General features: G+C 40.0%; 1 protein-coding gene and 1 non-coding gene across 4 annotated transcripts in view; one reads left to right on the forward strand and one right to left on the reverse strand.

The window, feature by feature from the left end:
- The window catches only part of USP49 (ubiquitin specific peptidase 49), a 105480-nt gene that overhangs the window by 30536 nt on the left and 55526 nt on the right, over window positions 1–19418 (reverse strand). The window lies entirely within an intron of this gene.
- On the forward strand, window positions 12423–12562 carry LOC124900222 (small nucleolar RNA SNORA8). Its single transcript, XR_007059948.1, has one exon. It is a non-coding gene; the product is annotated as a small nucleolar RNA SNORA8 (small nucleolar RNA).

Here is a 19418-nt window from a genome sequence, read left to right on the forward strand (position 1 = left end):
CACCAAGTAATTATTAATTTGATGTGATAATGGTGCTGTGGTTCCATTTTTAATCTTTGTATGTAGAAATACCTCTGATATATTTATAGGTGAAATATTAATATTATGATTGATATATGGAATTTGCTTTGAAGTACTCCAGGAAAAAAAAAATAGTAGAAGGACAGAAAAAACAAGATTGTCAAAATGTCTATAATTGTTGAGGCTGGTTGACAGGTACATGGAATTCATTATACTATTCTCTTTATTTTGGGGTATGCTTGAAATATAACATAAAAATATTTTTAGGCCAGCATGGTAGCTCACACCTGTAATCACAGCACTTTGGGAAGCCAAGGCGGGCAGATCACTTCAGCCCAGGAGTTCAAGACCAGCCTGGACAATATGGTGAGACCCCATCTCTACAAAAACTACAAAAAATTATCTGGGTGTAGTGGCATGTGCCTGTAGTCCTAGCTACTCGGGAGACTGACATGGGAGGATTGATTGAGCCCGAGAGGTTGAGGCTGCAGTGAGCTGTGATTGTGCCACTGCACTCCAGGCCTGGGCAAGAGAGCAAGACCCTGTCTCAAAATAAATAAATAAGTAAATAAATAAATAAAATACTTTTAAAGACAAAAAAAGCAAGCAATATATCAGTAGTGAGAGAAAACCTTGAGATACAAGCTATTCACAAATTAGATAGGTTATGAGATACTCTTCATTTTTACCATCATTTCTAGTTTTACTTTGAAATGTACCCTTTGAAAAACACCTCCCACCTGATCCCCCACACCAAATCAAAGTGGTGCAGTTTTTCTCAGTAGTGTTAGTCACAGAGATTGCCTGCATCAGCCTTTCTGTCTGGGCCTCAAGTTGCCCCCAACCCCACCACCCTACCAAATCTCTTTCAGTAACCTCATCAGATTTTTATCCACAATTTGTCCACAAAATTTCCTGATTATCTCTGTCTTTGGAGGGCATGAAGCCACTTTAGTCAGTCTGTTGAAATGCCCTTGCTTAGCCAAATGTTGTTCTCTCTTTCTGAAACTTCCCCTTTACTGGGAAAGAAAAGTCCGAGGCCGGGCATGGTAGCTCACGCCTGTAATCCTAGTACTTTGGGAGGCTGAGGTGGGTAGATCATTTGAGGTCAGGAGTTCAGGATCAGCCTGGCTAACATGGTGAAACCCTATCTCTTTTAAAAAATACAAAACTTAGTTGGGTGTGGTGGTGGGCGCCTGTAATCCCAGCTACTCTGGAGGCTGAGGCAGGAGAATTGCTTGAGCCTGGGAGGTGGAGGTTGCAGTGAGCCGAGATCGCACCACTGCACTCCTGATTTTTTAACAATTCTGCTCCTTCCTCATGGACTCCAATTATCCAGACGGAAAGCAGCTCATCCTATACATTTATAAGTCTCACTGTAGTCTCAGCAAACAGCAGCACAAAAATTATATATTTAAAAATCCAATATTTTTGTTTTTCTGACCCCAGTCACATAAAGGTTACCCCCAGTCTACATGACGCTGGTTTTACGAAGCAAAATCTGGCCACACAGATCCAGCACAGTATTCACAAACACCAACCAACAGGTTGGTTTTCAGTCATAGAAACAATGTGAAAAATAGCACTTGGTCTAGTTTAAAAAGCCTATTGAATCCATAATGTATGTATAGTAGAGTAATAGAATACTAGTGCTACCACTATAACAGTTAACTACCAAAAGTATTTTCTCTGAGAAAATTATTTCACACTTGCAACTTGAGAAGCCAAGAATTGCTTTCCCAGCTGCAGCTCAAGCAGTGAAATTGGGAATCTCCCTCCTCCCATTTTCTCCACATGGCTGAAGAGGGCTTTCCACACATGGTCATTTGTATGGCAGACACATATACATTAGGAACTGTCTGCAGAGAAAAAAAGGAACAATTTCTGTGAATAGAAAATAAATCTGATTGGAATTTACAAATGGATCCTCAAGATTAGATGCTGGTGTCGGTTATTTTGGTGGTTGTTCTAAGAAATGGGAACCCGTCTTCCTGATGTCCTGCTGCTTAAACGACAGCAGTCCATTTAGTTCTGTGCCTCTCCTGCAACATACCAAAGCATATCTGTCAGGAAGGAGGCCCATCATATTTTGCATGAATGAAGACAACTTTTAGGCCAGGCACGGTGGCTCATGCCTGTAATCCTAGCACTTTGGGAGGCCGACGTGGGCGGATCACGAGGTCAAGAAATCAAGACCATCCTGTCCAACATGGTAAAACCCCATCTCTACTAAAAATACAAATTTAGCTGGGCGTAGTGGCGCGCGCCTGTCGTCTCAGCTACTCAGGAGGCTGAGGCAGAAGAATCGCTTGAGCCGAGATCACACCACTGCACTCAAGCCTGGCGACAGAGTGAGACTCCATCTCAAAAAAAAAAAAGACAACTTTTAAGTACTTGGTTTCAAGAGAAAAGATGACAAATATCCAAAGAAAAGGAGTCAAATACACAGGAGTATTTGTTAAATAAATACAGAAGGAGAACATTGGAAGCTACAAAGAGATCATTCATCATTCATGTACTTTAATAGGGGATAGGTTAAATGAATTATAAATCAGCCATACATGGAAACCACCAGTTATTTTTAAAAAACTAAAAAAGGGGCAGGGCTATATGTACAACAACTCAAAATATAGTATGTGAAAAAAGCAAAGAGGCAGAACAATGTGTATAATATATCATGAATATACATACAAGCATACATATACACACTCATGCAAATAAGAGGATAAACAAGCTGGTGACAGCACATGCTTTGTGGGATGGAGATGGAAAGGAGACTCAGTGGTCAACCTTTGTACCTTTTGGGGAAAAAAATCACATTACCTATTTTAAAAAAGGACATGGCACTGAGAAGATTCAGTGTTTCAGTAATCTTAAAAATTGAGGCATCAGCAAGATTACTGAAGATAAGCACAGAGCTAAAATGGTTTACTATGTTTTCCTTAGGAAGTAAGATTTAGAGATAGGCAATCTGGTATCTATGGTATATAGAGTACCTAAGGAATTCTAGTTAGTAGCACTAGCCATTACAAAAAGAGTCCCCTCCTCACATCTTTTCCATAAGCCGATGACTGCAAAATGCAGGCTATGAAGAGTCTGTACTCTGCAGAGTGGCAATACAGCAGAGCCTCAGTCAGTCAAATGTCAATCATTTGACATTTCTTATCAACCAAGGTACCAAGGTAATTTCTAGTCTTCTTCCCCAGGGGCCACCACCAAAAACTGTCCATAGAAGTGAATTTGTGGGCAGACTCTCTTTTCCCCAACTCTCAAGAGATCTTCCTTCCCCTCATGGAACAGCTCCTAACATTATTGCAGTGTACTGGTAATCTCTCTCAATATCCAACCAACCTCTCTGAAGTGGGCAGTGGAGGTGGTGGGGGGGTCGGGAGAGAGGGAGAGAGAGAGTGTGTGTGAGTGTGTGTGCGGGGTGGACAGTGAAGGGAATCGGCTGAATGGTGAAGCACTCCTCCTCCATACCATTCTAAATTTAAAAGGTGCACTATAAGCCTCAGTTTCTTACTGCCTAAAGTTGGAGAGCACTAATACCTACACTTCAGAGAGCTGTTCTGAGGGAGGCTCAAATGAGATAGCCACGTACTCTGAAAGTAGTTAAACCTAATCAAAATACTGGCTGACTTGGCCAGCCTTGTTACTCATCCCCAGGCCAGTTATTTTTGCCTCCACAGAGCCTAAAGTCAGGCTGGTTTTCAGCATCTTACAGTAACTGAGTCTCTAGTTTTGATTTTATTCCAGGAAATTTCATCTAATAAGGTGTTCATAATAAGCTATTCTTAAACAAGAAAATGGAGGACACTTTTATATTAAAAACAAGAAAAATCACTATCTTTTTAAAGCAAATTTGAGGGTTTTTCTAATATCCATTTTCTTAAATCTTGAAAAATTGTTTAATAGCAACACAGTGCAAGGATAATAAAAGTCCAATTTAGATGTTTAAAAAAAAAAAACATAGCATCGCCGGGCACAGTGGCTTATGCCTGTAATCTCAGCACTTTGGGAGGCCGAGGCGGGCAGATCACCTGAGGTCGGGAGTTCAAGACCAGCCTGACCAACATGGAGAAACCCCGTCTCTATTAAAAAATACAAAATTAGCGTGGTGGTACATGCCTGTAATCCCAGCTACTCGGGAGACTAAGGAAGGAGAATCGCTTGAACCTGGGAAGCAGAGGTTGTGGTGAGCCGAGATCGCGCCATTGCACTCCAGCCTGGGCAACAAGAGCGAAACTCTGTCTCCAAAACAAAAAACAAGAACAAGCCCAAACAAGAACAAGCCCATAGCATCACAAAATGCAGTCAAATTAAAGAAAGCAGAATCAGCCTTAGCTCACTCTCCCGTGGGGGTATGCCCATTGAATACTTACAGGTCCAAGAGAATGTGCTGCATGGCAAAAATATAAAGGGGGCCTTCTTTCAAATAAGGCATAGAAGGCATTTCAAAGACGTGGACTGTGCATGAACCCTCATCTCTTGTACAAGAATAAAGCAGACGTACTTCTGGGAACTCAACTATAGTGAGCAGGCACAAGAGGTGAGAGGACTGGGCCCTAACTTGTACAAGAATCAAACAGGCTGACCACAAAAAGAGCGCCAGTGCATATCCAGGCAATGAACTTACTACAGTTTAAGTCCCACAAATCTTAGCTACCTCTGCCCTGTTTTAAAATATCAACCTCCTGGTGTGCCAGTAAGTCTCACCATTTGAATTAAGACATCAAAGTCCCTATTAAAGGCAAATATTTTAAGGGAAACACCCTAAGCCAATCAACTACCAATAACTAAGTGCAGGTTAATTTACTGTAGCAGGAGATGGAAAGCAGAGCTCAGGCGTATGATACTGCCTAAGTAAATGTTGACAGAAAGAAACTGAAGAGGAAGGGAAAAGCATGAATCATTGCCTGAGATCCCACAGAAGGAAGTTCCGAGCCTTAAGGTTGTAATGGACACCAACAAGAGAGGTCACTTAAAAGAAAAAAAAAAAAAGATATGAGAACACGAAAAATAAGTCTCACTGACCTCATAATTTTTTCCAGCATCTCTCCTATGTTGCCTGTGGTAAATGTGCTGAACACTGTACATACCCATGAAATTATTATATCAGTGAGGTATATCCTTAGCAAATATTCAATAATAAAACAAAGTATATATGTAATTTATTAAGTTTTTAAGAGATACAAATAACTAGAAAAGTAATTATTCTAAACTAACCTTTAGAATAATAACCTTTAGTTTATGAACAAGGTGTTGTGTGAGCCTGATTTCTCAGTAAATTTTAAAATTATTTTTGTCTTTTTTCCCTCAAGACAGCCTACCATTGAATGTTTATTATTTTTAAGTTAGTGATCACAGACAGCCTATAGCCAAGGGTAAATAAAGAATAGCCTGTTTGAAGACAGGACAACAGTCTCATCAAACCACCTAATTTAGCTACAATTAACTTATCAAAATATGTATCATCACTATACCTACCATTCACACAGAAACTTAACAGAACTAATAAGAACTAAACTGGGCCAGGTGCAGTGGCTCATGCCTATAATCCCGGCACTTTGGGAGACCGAGGCAGGTGGATCACTTGAGTCCAGGAGTTCGAGACCAGCCTGGGCAAAATGGTGAAACCCCATCTCTACAAAAAATACAAAAAGTTATCTGGGCATGGTGGCATGCACCTGTAGTCCCAGCTACTCAGGAGGCTGAGGTGGGAAGATCAATTGAGCCCAGGAGGCATAGAGGCTGCAGTGAGCTGAGATCGCGCAACTGCACTCCAGCCTGGGTGACAGAGCAAGTGAGACCCCATCTCAAAAGAAAGAAAGAAAAAAAAGAACTAAACTGCTTTGAAGGAACTATGAATAAGAAACATCCTATCTAATACTGGCAGAAGCAAAATACAAAATAATACATATTACGCATTCCAAGAGACCAAACAATAGATCTCTAAGGGACCATTTAATGCATTACTAATTCTAAGAAGCCAACATATATAAGTCTGCTGACAAAGAAAATATGCCATAGAATTGTTCCAGACATGATTTGCTCCTTAATGGGAAGGTGGGAGCAGGACTGTTGAGGTGATGATGTCATTGAGCAGGTTCAAGAAATAAGGAATTGTCACATGACAATGATATAAAATGTCTCCAAAACAGCAATTAAGGTTTTATCTTCTGAGGTTGAAGTTAGAAAAAAAAAAATACAGTGGACACAATAATCCATCTGCTAAAAATACTAAAACCCTGAGGTTTGAGTGACTGCAGAGTTCTGGGGCCCCCCAAACCCAATCAAAGTGACAGATACAACCTCACAGAGCCAAAGAGAATATGACTGTGGAGGACTGCCAGCCTCCTGTGGAGGACTGTGGAGGACTGCCTGACCACAAATTGAAGGTCAGCAGTAAGAGGCGAGCATCCTCTGACCAATGGTTAGGCAGTGTTCTTCCTTCAGCTAAAGACAGCAAGTCCCCCAACTAAAAAATACAACTACTCAAGCCTGTTGATATCATATAAGGGCCTGATACCAACAGTCACTAAAACCATCCAGCAGACTCCCTCTGCACTGATTCCTTGCACAGAAAACCAAAATTGATTTTCCACATACCTCGGCTACAGGGAGAGAATGTAATAACAACCAAACTCAAATACTAGTTGGCTTAACAGTTCTATTTCTCACTGAAAATGAATCTTCACTCCAATGATGTTGATCATATAAGTCAGTTCCCAAGAAACTGGGCATCATACGTTATTCTCACAAACTTGAGGCTGAGAACCTTTAGAGATAAGGTCTAGACCCTAGTTATGACTTCACCAAGGTAATGCCACCTGGGAGGGCTCTGAGTAAGAAGCTAGCTAGCTGGCATTTTCAGAGGTAGGTTACTCCCCATTTATTTAAGATTTCTCCAAGTAGAATATAGTCAGGCCGGGCACAGTGGCTCACGCCTGTAATCCCAGGACTTTGGGAGGCCGAGGCGGATGGATCACTTGAGGTCAGGAGTTTGAGACCAGCCTGGACAACATGGTGAAACCCCGTCTCTACTAAAAATACAAAAATTAGCCAGCAGTGGTGGTGGGCGCCTGTAGTCCCAGCTACTCGGGAGGCTGAGGTAGGAGAATTGCTTGAACCCAGAAGGCAGAAGTTGCAGTGAGCCAAGATCGCACCACTACCCTCCAGCCTGGGCAATAGAGCAAGGGGCAATACAGCAAGACTCTGTCTCCAAAAAAAAAAAAAAAAAAAAAATTTGCCTGGGTCCGGATACTTTTTGGTATTTTGATAATTAAGTTGCATTACAAATAATTAAATCAGCTATCATTTATTGAACACTTACTACATCCAGGCACTGTTCTGAAACTTAATATATGTCATTTATTTTTCTCAACAATCTAATGAGGCAATAATTTCAACCCCATTTTAAACAAAATAAACAGGCTCAGAGAAGTAAAGAAACTTCTCCAAGGTTGCACTGCTGGTACATGGCTGAGCTGTGAGATGAATTACAAAGCTGGCTTACTCAAATTTGATTGACCACTCTCAGAATTTAAAATTTTTTAAATTTACATTTTCTAAATTACTAAAGTAAAATTGAACATTCTTTCATGTATCTATTGGCTATTTTTTCTCTACTGTCAGCTGACAAAACATATAATCACCACTAAAGCTACCACTCACATAAGAACTTACCAAAACTAATAAGAACTAAGCTGCGGCTGGGCGTGGTGGCTCACACCTGTAATCCCAGCACTTTGGGAGGCCGAGGCGGGCAGATCACAAGGTCAGGAGATCGAGACCAACCTGGCCAACATGGGGAAACCCCATCTCTACTAAAAATACAAAAAAAAAAATTAGCCAGCCATGGTGGTATGTGCCTGTAGTCCCAGCTACTTGGGAGGCTGAGGCAGGAGAATTGCTTGAACCCGGGAGGCGGAGGTTGCAGTAAGCCAAGATGGCACCACTGCACTCCAGCCTGGGAGACAGAGCAAGACTCTGTCTCAAAAAACTAAGCTGCTTTGAAGGTGCTATCAATAGAAACATCATATTTAATACTGGCAGAAACAAAATAATAGGCATTACATATTCCAAGAGATCAAGCTTTGCCTATTTTTTGATTAGGCTGTTTTATATTTTTCATATTAAATGATTGGAGTTCTTTATATATTCTGAATACAAGGCCTCTGGCAGTCAGATGTGTTGTAAATATCCTCTGTCTGCAATTTGTCTTTTGTTTAAGGCATCTTTTGTCATACATAAGATTTACAGTTAATACAATCATATGACGCATCTTATAATTTCATCTTTTGTTTATGAAATCCTTTCTTATGCCAAGGTAATAAAGGTACTTGCCAACAGTTTCTTCTAAAAGTTTGAAGTTTACACTTAGGTTGTCAATACATCTGGATTTTTTCCTCCTAGCCTCACCCTTAATCATTTGAAATTTTGATTGGCATTTATTGAATTTATAAACTTATTTAGGGAAAATTACCTCTTTATTATATGAAGTCCTCCCATCCATGAACATGCTATCTCTCTGTTTATCCAGGTCTTTTGATTATGTTTTCTCCCCAAGATATATATTTCTTGTTTAGATATTTCCTGGATACTTTATAGTTTTTTTGTGGCTACTATGAATAGAATCTTTAAAAAAGTATACATTTACTAAATGATTATTGCTGGTAGACAGGAATGTGATTGATTTCTGTATTAGGTTTAATCATATGAAACTGCAAATAAATATTTAACGACCATTTTGACCTACATAAATTATAATTTTGTATGGTTGAATCAAAAGGTTGCTGATCTGAAACTCAGCAACTTTGCAGAACTATTATTATTAGTTCTAATAATTTGTGGATTCTCTTGAATTTTTTTTTTTTTTTAAGATGGTGTTTCGCGCTTGTTGCCCAGGCTGGAGTGCAATGGCACGATCTTGGCTCACTGCAACCTCGCCTCCCGGGTTCAAGCGATTCTCCTGCTTCAGCCTCCCAAGTAGCTGGGATTACAGGCATGCAACACAATGCCCGGCTAATTTTGTATTTTTAGTAGAGATGGGGTTTCTCCATGTTGGTCAGGCTGGTCTTGAACTCCTGACCTCAGGTGATCTGCCCACCTCAGCCTTCCAAAGTGCTGAGATTACAGGCGTGAGCCACCGCGCCTGGCGGATTCTCTTGAATTTTCTATGGATGTCTACATAGTCTTCAAATATAGACAGCTTGGTCCTCTCTTTCTTGTCTTCTGGAATTAACCAGGAAGTTCAGTTGATTAGTAAATATTAAGGCTGATAGTGGGCACCATGTACTGTTCTTAACTTGAGAGGGAACAGGTCTGTAGTTTTACTGTTAAGTGTGATGTCTACCAAAGGAAGTTTTGGTTAACTTTAGGTTAAGAAAGTTTTTTATTTCTAGCTTTGTGAAAAAAATTTAATCAGACTAAATATTAAAGTTCATATAATGTTTTCTTCTGAACCTATTAAGAAAATAAGAAGAACTTCCCCTTTTAAAAATTAATATGTTGGATGATATCAGTGATGTATTTTCTGATATGAAACCATCCTTGCATATAATAATTTAAACAAACTATTTGGTCTTGATGTTTTGTTTTTTAATACAATAATACATTCAATTTGCTAGTACTGTTTAGATGTTTCAAATCCATTTTTAGAAGATTAGCCTTTCATTTTCTTATAATATACTGACCTTCCCTGTTTTGTACCAAGATTATACTAACCTCAAAACCTGAGATAGCAGCTTTCCCACTTTATCTCTTCTCTAAAACAGTTTAATTCTTCTATGGTTTATCTGTTCCATGAAGGTCTGATAAAACTTACCTGTAAACCTGTCTCATCTAGGCATTTTGTAGGATTGTTTCAATGTTTAATATAGCTAAGTTCAGATGAAGATCCAAAAATCCTCCCAGTGATCACAGGTCTCCAAGTCTTGGGAAATTATGCCTTGGTAACCTAGTGTCTACTTTAACCCCTACAGAAATTCCATATAAGTTTATACTTTTGAAAATAAATAAATAGTATGTTAATGACAGACAATGATGGAGCAAACAAAACAGATTTGCAACCAATTCAAATTTAGGAAAGCAGGCCAGGCGTGGTGGCTCACACCTGTAATCTCAGTACTTTGGAAGGCCAAGCCAGTGGATCACCTGAGGTTAACCAGTTCGAGACCAGCCTGGCCAACATGGTGAAACCCCATCTGTACTAAAAATACAAAAATTAGCTGGGCATGGTGGTGCATACCTGTAATCCCACTCAGGAGGCTGAAGCAAGAGAATCACTTGAACCTGGGAGGTGGCGGTTGCAGTGAGCCAAGATCGCACCACTGCACTCCAGCCTGGGCAACAGAGCAAGACTCCGTCTCAAGAGAAAAAAAAAAAATTTAGGAAAGCAGCACGAAGCACCAGTGCTGACTGGCCAAGAGATTGTTATACACTGGTGCTACCTGTACAGGCTGATTGATAGGAACCTCCACACAAGATAACCTGCATTGTCACTATAAAAGGTAGAGCTATCGACTGGGATTGGTGACTCATGCCTGTAATCCCAGCACTTTGGGAGGCAGAGGTGGGCAGATCACCTGAGGTCAGGAGTTCAAGACCAGCCTGGCTAACATGGTGAAACCCCGTTTCTACTAAAAATACAAAAAATTGCCAGGCGCAGTGGCTCACGCCTGTAATACCAGCACTTTGGGAGGCTGAGGCGGGCAGATCACGAAGTCAGGAGTTTAAGACCAGCCTAACCAACATGGTGAAACCCCGTCTCTACTAAAAATACAAAAATTAGCCGGGCGTGGTGGCATGCACCTGTAACCCCAGCTACTCAGGAGGCTGAGGCAGGAGAATCGCTTGAACCCAGGGGGTGGAGGTTGCAGTGAGCCGAGATTGTGCCGCTGCACTCCAGCCTGGGCAACAGAGCGAGACTCCATCTCAAAACAGAAATAAAAATAAAAATAAATAAAAATACAAAAAATTAGCTGGGCGTGGTGGTGCGCACCTGTAATCCCAGCTACTCGGGAGTCTGAAGCAGGAGAATTGCTTGAACCCAGGAGGCAGAGGTTGCAGTGAGCCGAGACCGTAACATTGCACTCCAGCTTGGGCAACAAGAGCAAAACTCCATCTCAAAAAAAAAAAAAAAAAAAGTAGAGCTACCATTTTTGAAATAAACTAATCATTTTTCTTCACCACTAACTCTCTTGAGCTTCTAAATCCATACTGCACATTAAACATTACTCCAAACTAAAATTAAAACCACCACCACAACAACCCATAACCTCCGCTTTTAATGGGCTGTCTGTATGATAAAGTCCAAGTTCCTCAGACAGACCTTCAAAAGTATCACATACAATCTGACCCCAAACAAGCTTCTCATATTATCTCCCACCCTTTCTTTGTGTCCAAACAACCAGATGGACTGGTCTACTCACTATTTCTTCAGACGTCCCAAGAACAGTCAATTCCTTGAGATGCTATCCTTCCTCTTCTGTACTAACCCTCAAAAGCCAGCTTAGGTCCTGTCCTTTTTTAAAGGCTTTTCCTGACCATTCTACTACCCAGTGAATCTCTCCCTCAAAGAACACCTCATTGTTCACAGTCCTCAATTGTTTTATCTGGTTTACTAACCATAGTCCAAACTCCTTAAGGCAAAGTCTGTACTGTTTTTTTTTTACCATTCACCCCCTGCACAAGGCTCTTGATATAAAGAACTAAGAACTTGACCCCAAATCTTTCCTGGGCATCTTTTACTCATGTTACCTGATAGTCTTGATTTGTAATTCTAGGTGGAGCTGCTTCCCTTTGATAAATTAACTGAACAGAGACAATTATCTTCTGAAATTCTGTGATGATAGCTCATTTAACCTATTCTCTCCCAGTTCTAGCTCCTTTACAGGGCACTATGTAAGACTATCATGCTTTCCTAGCTACATATGTATGTACTGGCAAATGCCTAAGTCCTAGTATAAACAAAATTGGGTATGTGCAGGCAAAAAAGTCAAATGTTTAAAAAGACTTGGCTTTCAATAAACAGCTCACACACATGGTGTGTTGCTTGCAAAGAGAAAAAACAAGCACGGTAAGGATGCCATTTTTAATGGCTCCCAAAAATATGACATACTTAAACGTGTTTTTTTCCAACTAGAAACCTGGTGTTATTATGAGGACTGGGTTGTTCAAGGATACCAGCGTCCATGAAAGGGTATTTTTGGCAAGCACTTTATCACTAGAAATTAGTCAAAAAAAAATTTTCTGAGCACTCGCCTACAATATACCAAACACTATGCTTTAGGTGTAGAAATCAGCCAAAACAAGATTAGGCAACATTACAAAAATATCAACTAACTAAAATGATTGACTAATTGGATGTCTTAAATCTTAAAACACTAGAATAATTTAATTGCATTGCCATGGTATCTGCACTCAGTAGTTTATTCCTGCTGGGTGTCCAAAGATCAGTGCCATAGAAATTCAGTATCTAGCATCACTGATTTTCTTGGCTTTGTGCTTGTTAAAACTTGGTATTTCTATTGACACAGTATTTCTTTTTTTCTTTCTTTCTTTTTTCTTTTTTTTTTTTTTGAGACAGAGTCTCGCATTGTTGCCCAGGCTGGAGTGCAGTGGCGCGTCCCCGGCTCACTGCAACCTCCACCTCCCAGGTTTACACCATTCTCCTGCCTCAGCCTCCCGAGTAGCTGGGACTACAGGTGCCCGCCACCATGCCCGGCGAATTTTTTGTATTTTTAGTAGAGATGGGGTTTCACCGTGTTAGCCAGGATGGTCTCGATCTCCTGACCTCATGATCCGCCCGCCTCGGCCTCCCAAAATGCTGGGATTACAGGTGTGAGCCACCACGCCCGGCCTTGACACAGTATTTCTGTAGTTCTATAGTTTCCTCATACTGTTCAGATTCATATAGTCTTCAATAGCAGCTAGAAAAAACTCACTAAGAATAAATATAATCAAATATTTCTTTTATTCTTTTGCTTCTCAGTAAATGTTTTCTCATTAATTCTCAGTAGAAATAATTTCAGAATTATAATAATAAAGTATTTAAGCACTGACAGGAAACGCTACTCCAATAACTTCTTCCATACTCGAACAATTTTTGAAAGATTTTAGAAAAGTGATTCTAATTTGAAATTCAAATAGTGCAAATAAATCCATGTAAAATAACTATACCAAACCTTCTCTCTCAGTAGTTCTTATTGGTATGGGTAAAAATATAGGTTAAAATAAGGCAAAGGTGGACAAGATTATCACAGCATGTGTGTAAGATTTCTGAAATGTAAGAAGTAGTAGCAAGATTTCTGGACCCTAGAAAGGGCCAAATGATGAGGTTTGGGGTGATAGTACATTTGGAAAACCCTATTTATTAACCTAGTCCACACTATTCAGCATGTGATTTCAAATCTGTCTTGGCAGTTTATCTACGAAGCTGTTGCTGAATTCTGCCCTTTTGGCAAAACACTTCCAATGTTGGTAAAGTGAGCACAAAACTAGAAAACATGTTGAGTATATTAAGTGGGTCCACTTTGTTTAAAACTTTAAACAAAGCTTTCACCTGTACACATATTTGAATAGCTAAGAACATTGAAACATGCACGCCCATCACTAGGAAGAAATCAAAGTAGGCAACTAAAGGAAATTTGTCCTATTTAAAGTTCTCATGAGTTCTTCTGCAGTATGGGGCATTCTTGGGTCTCTGATGTCCTTGAGATGTCTGACCTATGATTCTCTAGTTAATAACTACCAATTCCATTCCTATGATACCCATACTTTACCTCACTCTATCATAACATCGAGCACTGAGCACTATCTAAAAAGTCTCTCATGCTGTTGAGAAAATGGAAACAATGATTATACAATAATAACAGCAATAAAAATTAGTAAAGAACATCAAGTATCAGGTATTTTTCATATCTTCTCTAGTCCTAAAATGCCCAGACACTATTATCCCGATTTTATATATGAGGATCTTGAATATCAGAGAGGGTAAATGATATGGTTTGGATCTGTGTCCCCACCAAATCTCATGTTGAATTGTAATCCCCAGTGTTGGAGGTGGGGCCTGGTGGGAGGTGACTGGATCAAGGGGGCAATTTCTCATGAATGATTTGGCACCATCCTCTTGAAGCTGTTCTTGTGATAGTGTGTTCTCACGAGATCCAGTTGTTTAAAAGTGTGTAGCACCTCAACATTCTCTATTTTGCTCCTGCTCCAGCCATGTAAGATGTGCCTGCTTCCCCTTCACCTTCCGCCATGATTGTAGTTTCCTGAGGCCTCCCCAGAAGCAGATGCCACTATGCTTCCTGCAGAATCATGAGCTGATTAAACCTCTTTTCTTTGTAAATTACCCAGTCTCAGGTATTTCTTTATAGCAATGTGAGAATGGACTAATACAGTAAGTATTCTCAAGAACACTCACATAGAAAATAGCTGAGTCAAGGTTCCAGCTCAGTACTGCCTATCTTCAGTTTTTATAATATATGATTGTATTCAAGAAATAGGAAAGAAAAAAATAATGTTAAGAGTAGAAGTGGAGAGATGGTAATAAGGAAAGAAGACTGATGATTCTTAAGGAGATGAATCACTCTAAGCCCAAACCACCACTAGTCTTCAATCTGGGTCTCTACCCACCATCAAAGGGGCAATCATTAGGTTAGAGAACACAGCTTGCTTACCACTGGGTGCTGTGTCTTATATTTGCTTGGTATATCCCAGAGGGGAAAAGACTTAATAATGACTTTTGGATGGGTGGATGAGATGGAAGGATGACAAACGCACATTTAGCATGCAAAGGAGTCTTTAGCCAACTTAAACGAATGCTCATGCCATTAACATTTCCATTACAAGATTCTGAAATGCAGTCATGAAAGCCAATTTAATTGCAATTTAGATTTGCTAGGTTAGTCAAGTATGGAAAATGGAAGGAATTGGGAAGTAAACACAACTGTTATTTTAAGAACTGGAAAATCTGGCCGGGTGCAGTGGCTCACGCCTGTAATCCCAGCACTTTGGGAGGCCGAGGTGGGTGGATCACGAGGTCAAGAGATCAAGACCATCCTGGCCAACATGGTGAAACCCCGTCTCTACAAAAAAATACAAAAAATTAGCCAGGCATGTTGGCAGGCACCTGTAGTCCCAGCTACTTGGGAGGCTGATGCAGGAGAATCACTTGAACCCAAGAGGCGGAGGTTGCAGTGAGCCAAGATTGCGCCACTGCACTCCAGCCTGGTGACAGAGTGAGACTCTAAAAAAAAAAACAGAAAAAAAAACACCAGAAAATCCAAGCTAACAAAAGGTAGGTAAAGTAAAATTTATGAAATGATATAAATTGGCTGGGCACAGTAGCTCATGCCTGTAATCCTAGCACTTTGGGAGGTCAAGGTGGGAGGATTGCTTGAGTCCAGAAGTTCAAGATCAGCCTGAGGAAGATGGTGAGACCATCTCTACAAAAATAAAAAATAAAAAAATTAGCTGGGCATGGTAATGTGTGCCTGTAGTCCTAGCTACTCAGGAGGCTGAGGTGAGAGGAGCACTTGAGCCCAGGAGTTCCAGGCTGTTGTGAGTTATGATCATACCACTGCACTCCAGCCTGGGTGACAGAGTGACACTCTGTATACAAAATAAATAAATACAATACAAATTGAGTAAGAAAACAGTTAACAGACATAGGTAGAGTAAGCTGGAAGGGAGTTGAAAAAGAAGGGGGTTTTTTGGCTCATAGAGAACACTAGGTCTTTCTTCACAAAGCAGTACCCAAAGGCTCTGAAATAGGACACCCTGACCACATAAAGAAAACTAAAAATAAAAACCACATGATCATCTCCATAGATGCAGAAAAGACTTCTGATAAAATTCAACATTGCTTCATGTTGAAAATCCTCAACAAACTAGGCACTGAAAGAACGTATCTCAAAATAATAACAGCCATCTATGACAAACCCACAGCCAACATCATACGGTATGGGTAAAAGTTAGAAGCATTCTACCTGAGAACTGGAACAAGATAAGAATGCTCACTCTCACGGCTCCTACTCAGCGTAGTACTGGAATTCCTAACCAGAACAATCAGGCAAGAAAAAGAAGTAAAAGGCATCCAAATAGGAAGAGAAGAAGTCAAACTATATTTGCAGATGATATAATGTTATAACTAGATCTTGGACAAGGTAGCATAAGAAAAAGTAAATCGATAAATAAAAATACAAAATACAAAATAATTTTATACCTAGAAAACCCCATAGTATCTGGCCAAAAGATCCTAGATCTTATAAACAACTTCAGTAAAGTTTCAGGGTGCAAAATCAATGTACAAATATCAGTAGCATTTCTATACACCAACAGTATCCAAACTGAGTGCCAAATGAAGAGTATGATCTCATTCAGAACAGACACACACACGCACACACACACACACACACAAACAAAATACCTAGGAATACAGCTAATCAGGGAGGTGAAAGATCTCTACAGCGAGAATTACAACACTGCTCAAAGAAATCAGAGATGACACAAATGGAAAAATACTCTATGCTCATGGATAAGAAGAATCAATATTGTTTAAATGGTCATACTGCCCAAAGCAATCTACAGATTCAGTGCTATCCCTATCAAACTACCAATGACATTCTTCTCAGAATTAGAAAAAAACTATTCTAAAATTCATATGGAACCAAAAAAGAGCCTGAATAGCCAACGCAATCATAAGCAAAAGAACAAAGCTGGAGGCATCACTGTTACCCAACTTCAAACTATACTTTAAGGCTACAGTCACCAGAACAGCATGGTACTGATATAAAAACAGACACACAGTCCAATGGAACAGAATAGAGAGCTCAGAAATAAAAACGTACACCTACAACCATCTGATACTCAACAAAGTCGACAAAAGCAATGGGGAAAGGGCTCCCTATTCAATAAATGGCACCGGAATAACTGGCAAGCCATATGCAGAAGATTGAAGCTGGACTTCTTCCTTACACCATCTACAAGAATCAACTCAACATGGGTTAAAGACTTAAAAGTAAAACCTAAAACTATAAAACCTCTAGAAAACCTAGGAAATACCATTCTGGACACAGGCCCTGGCAAAGATTTCACGACGAAGACCCCAAAAGCAATTGCAGCAAAAGCAAAAATTGACAAATGGCACCTAATTAAAGAGCATAGCAAAGAACAACAACAACAACAAAACCTATCAGCAGAGTGAACAGACAACCCACAGAATGGGAGAAAATATTTGCAAGCTATGCATCTGTCAAAGGTCTAATATCCAGAAGCTATAAGGAACTTAAATTAACAAGCAAAAAACAAACAGCCCCATTAGAAAGTGGGCAAAGGACATGAACATACATTTTTCAAAAGAAGACATATGGTGGCCAACAAGCATATGAAAAGAATGCTCAGCATCACTAATCATTAGAGCAATGCAAATAACCACAATGAGATACCATCTCACAGCAGTTAGAATGCTATTATTTAAAAGTCAAAAACATCACAGATGATGGCAAAGATGTGGAGAAAAGGGACCACTTATACAATACTAGTGGGAATGTAAATTAGTTCAGCTACTGTGGAAAGCAGTTTGGTGATTTCTCAAAGAACTTAAAACAGAACTACTATTTAACCCAGCAATCCCATTATTGGTTATATACCCAAAGGAATATAAATCACTCTACCATAAAGACACATGCATGCATATGTTCACTGCAGCAATAATCACAATAGTAAAGACATAGAACCAATCTAAATGCCCATCAATGGCAGACTGGGTAATTCCACTGCCTGCAACATCCTGGCTAACCAGAGGTCCTGCGTCTATCCACATGACAGTTTCACTGCTAGCATAACCAGCATTTGAGAGAGCCAGCCCACCAAACATATCTGCAACCAAGGACTCTCACAGAGTGTACTTCACTCCCTTGTCACCTCCACCAGAGCAGGTGCTATTATCCATGGCTGGGAGACCTGAAGAGGAATCTATCACAGGACTCTTTGCAGATATTCCCCAGAACCAGCCCAGGGCCTGGTAGCTCCACTGGGTAGCTAGACCCAAAAGAGCAGTAATTATCACTGCAGTCCAGCTCTAAGGAAGCCCTATCCCTAGGGGAAGGGGGAGAGCACCACATCAAGGGATCACTCTGTGGTATAAATAAATCTGAACATCAGGCTTTGAGTTCCAGATTTTTCCACTGAAATAGTCTACCCAAATGAGAAGGAATCAGAAAAGTAATTTTGCTAATATGACAAAACTAGGTTCTATAACACCCTCAAAAGACCACACTAGCTCCCCAACAATGGATCCAAACCACTGCAGAATATACATTCTTTTATCAGCACATGGAACATTCTCCAAGATAGACCACATATAGGTCACAAAACAAGTCTCAATAAATTTAGGAAAATGAAAATTATATCAAGTATCCTCTCAGACCACAGTGGAATAAAACTGGAAATTAACTCCAAAAGGAACGCTCGAAACTATGGACATTAAATAATCTGGTCTTGAATAATCTTTGGGTCAACAATGAAATCAAGATGGAAATTTAAAAAATTCTTGGAACTAAACGATAATAGTGACACAATCTATTAAACCCCTGGGACATAGCAAAAGTGGTGCTAAGAGAAAAGTTCATAGCATTTAATGTCTACATCAAAAAGTCTGAAAGAGTCCTGGTGTGGTGGTTCATGCCTATAATCCTAGTACTTTGGAAGGCTGAGACAGGTGGATTGCTTGAGCTTAGGAGTGTGAGACCAGCCTGGGCAACATGGCAAACCCTGTCTCTACAAAAAATACAAAAATTAGCTGGGTGTGGTGGCATATGCCTGTAGTCCCAGCCACTTGGGAGGCTGAGGTGGGAAGATAGCTTGAGCCCAGGAGGCGGAGGTTGCAATGAGCAAGATTGTGCCACTGCGCTCCAGTCTGGACAATAGAGCCAGGCCTTGTCTCAAAAAAAAAAAAAAAAAAAAAAAAAAAAAAAAGTCTGCAAGAGCATAAATAGACAATCTAAGGCCACACCTCAAGGAACTAGAGAAATAACAAACCAAACCCAAACACAGCAGAAGAAAAGAGTAACGAAGATCAGAACAGACCTAAAATAAATTGAAACAAAAAAAAATACAAAAGATAAATGAAACAAAAATGCCTATCAACCAACGAGTGGATAAAGAAAATGTGGAATATATATACCATGGACTACTACTCAGTCATAAAAAGGAATGAAATAATGGCATTTGCAGCAACCTGGGTGGAGGTGGAGACGATTACTCTAAGTGAAGTAACTCAGGAATGGAAAACCAAATATTGTATGTTCTCATAAGTGGGAGCTAAGCTGTGAGGATGCAAAGACATAGGAATGATATAATGGATTTGGGGGGCTTGGGGGTTAGGGTGG

This window comes from Homo sapiens, chromosome 6 (assembly GCF_000001405.40).
Source record: "Homo sapiens chromosome 6, GRCh38.p14 Primary Assembly".
In the NCBI taxonomy this organism is placed as follows: domain Eukaryota; kingdom Metazoa; phylum Chordata; class Mammalia; order Primates; family Hominidae; genus Homo; species Homo sapiens.